Source organism: Homo sapiens, chromosome 6, assembly GCF_000001405.40.
Source record: "Homo sapiens chromosome 6, GRCh38.p14 Primary Assembly".
NCBI lineage: Eukaryota > Metazoa > Chordata > Mammalia > Primates > Hominidae > Homo > Homo sapiens.
In genome coordinates, this window is record NC_000006.12 from 125765125 (window position 1) to 125768393 (window position 3269).

Sequence of the window (3269 nt, forward strand, 5' to 3'; positions counted from 1 at the left end):
CTACCAAAGAAAATTCTATCATCTCACTCAAAGTGGTTGACAAAGGTGTGGCAAAATGGTGAAGTATTAAGGTACTAAGCAAATTGAGTTTGAAAAAAAAAATCATTTCCAATCTTCCATATCTAAAAGATAAGAAATTGTTGTTGTTGTTGTTTAGGGAGAATGCTGGATTATTCTGAATGTTTATACACCATAGGTCCATATGCCATAAAACAAAATTCTTCATTTGACCTATGAAGACCTGTCCAGTAACCCATTCACTTTAATAATTCTTGTTATCAGAAAGGGCCTTTTAACTGACCTAACTCTTCAGCCTAGAGTTAAAGAATGTTTTTGATAGCAGTTAACAGTTAATACGTGTATAATTTTTCAAAAATCTTATGCCCAGAGACGTTTTTAGATGCCTCTAAGTTCTTAGCCTTCTATAAATATCTGGTTTTCTTGACCTTTGTTGTCATTCTGTTAGTGTGTGGAAATGAAGAGATTCATGCATATGAAGTGTGACATGGATGTAACAGAATGTATTATAAGTTTTTTTAAGGGGTAGAAAGAGGTTGAATAACCTTGGCACTTAACTCTAAAGTTTCTTGTATCAAGTTTGCATTGTAAGTCTTGTGTTTTCATTACAATGAAAACAAAGTCACATTTTCTCATGCAGAAGAAAAAGTATTTTGCAAAGAATGGCTATTATTCGTAATGTTTTACTTGTATAAGTGTAGTAATAAATTATGACTCTGAACACAAATGAATATCTTAGTTGCATTAACCCCTCCTTTCCTGATTATAAGCTATCAAGATGAACAGGATTTACCTTCCTAGGTCTTTCAGCACTTCTTTTTTAACCTTTTTCCTTAATTGCAGAGAACCTAAAGACTTTTTTTTTTCTTTTTCCACCAAAACAATGTGCCTGGAGCTTTGCATAGCTCTGTTTGGGTAGACTTTCCCTTATGCCAGCAATGACTGGCTTCTTTCCCTGTCCTAACCAGTCTGTCCCAGCACAGCTGCATCAAATTGGCTTGTCTGGGATCTGGCAAGATGATGGAGACGTGTTTGCAGTCATGAGGGCAAAACACAGAGGCACATAGACCATGACTCTCATGATAACACATTTCTGTCCCAGGCACAAGCCACTCTTAAATGAGAACTAAGCCAGTCACATTTTGATCTTACAAGCAGCCACTGTTAGATTTATTTTATTGTTTTGACATCTTTCTGACAATGAAAACATAAGCATAAAATAGTACAAATGGTTGGGTGTGGTAACTCATGAAAACTCACGTGCAAGCCGAGCACACATGTGCCTGTAGTTCCAAGTACATGGGAGGCTGAGGCAGGAGGATCATTTGAGTCAGGTGTTCAAGGCTGCAATGAGCTATGATTATGCCACTGTGCTCCAGCCTGGGTGACAGAGGGAGGTCCCATCTCAAAAACAAAAACCAAAAAGACCTGTGCAAGCTGGTGACCATCAGATAAGCGAGATGAGGGTATGGCCAAGCTCAGGGGAAAAACCTTGCCTGTGGTAACACGTCTTTTACTGATACTTGGAAGGAAGCTTGAGAGGCTGTTGGGCCCATCTGAAATATATTCATGAGTCCATCACTGCTAAATCATTAAACAGATTTAAGGCATATGTGTTGCATCAAGAGAATAGGCTTAAAACACCAAGTGCCTCCTGACCAAGATGATCATGGGAAACGAGTCTCAGTGCTCAACCCATGAATTATCTGGCCACACTGACCATTTCTCATACCAGAGATACTTTTTTGATGCGATCCTCAAACCCCAAGGATTCCCAAGAGTGGGAGCCACAGACAAAACAACACAGGAACAATAATTCGATATAAATGCATTTAGCCACTTCTCCAAACACCAAGATGCAGCAGACAAGACAATCCCTTTGCTCTGGATATCAGGAGCTTGGACAAAAGAAGAAACAAAGTTCACAAATTGTTTGTCTTTAGGATATGACACAGTGAGAGAAGTGGTGAAAGTTATTTGTTTGTTATGCTTAAATGTATAGTTTAAGAGTTAAAATTCCGGCCTGGCGCAGTGGCTCATGCCTGTAATCCCAGCACTTAGGGAGGCCGAGGTGGACGGATCACAAGGTCAGGAGTTTGAGACCATCCTGGCTCACACAATGAAACCCCATCTCTACTAAAAGTACAAAAATTAGCCAGGCGTGGTGGCAGGCACCTGTAGTCCCAGCTACTTGGGAGGTTGAGGCAGGAGAATCACTTGAACCCAGGAGGTGGAGGATGCAGTGAGTCGAGATCACGCCACTGCACTCCAGCCTGGGCAACAAAGCGAGACTCCATCTCAAAAAAAAAAAAAAAATTGTGTAAGTGTATATTTTCTACTGATACAGTAAAGACATTAACAAGGAAGTTGTTTGCTTAATAATACAGCAACTTCACAGCCATATCTAGGAAAATGCATGTTTAATGACTTAAATCAAGTTTATTAAGCAATTTTGTTTAAGATGTGGGAGCTTCTTAAAATTCTTGGTGCTTATTCATCAGACCACTTATAAACAACTTGAACTCCATATTTATAATTCTAGTGAATTTATCTCTATTCAATATTTATAAGTCATTATAAAATATCTCAATTCTTCAAAAAGTATAATAAGTATAAAGACTAAAGGAACAGGTTTTGAAATCAGACAGACCTGATGCATCTTGAGATTTAATGGCTATGCAACTTTGGACAAATTACTGAACTTTGGACAAATTACTAAGCTTTGTTTTTATCATTAGTAAGATAGTTTTGTTTTGTTTTGAGACAGGGTCTTGCTCTGTCACCCAGGCTGGAATGCAGTGACACGATCACAGCTCACTGCAGTCCTGACCTCCCAGGCTCAAGCAATCATCCCTCCTTAGCCTCCCTAGCAGCTGGGACTATAGGTGTGGGCCACCATACCTGGCTAATTTTTTTTCTGAGGATTTTCTGAGGATTACATGAGATAATGTTCATAAGACCTGACACATAGTATATTATCAATAAATGATAGTGCAGCTTATTCAAATTTAGTTTATTAAAGATGTTTTAATATCCACATTAAGTCTCATTTGGTCTTTTTTTTTTTCTTATTCAGAGTCTTGCTCTGTAGCCCAGGCTGCAGTCCAATGGTGAGATCTCAGCTCACTGCAACCTCCACCTCCCAGGTTCAAGCAATTCTCCTGCCCCAGCCTCCTGAGTAGTGGGGATTACAGGCACCCACCATCATGCCTGGCTAATTGTTTGTATTTTTAGTAGAGACAGAGTTTTGC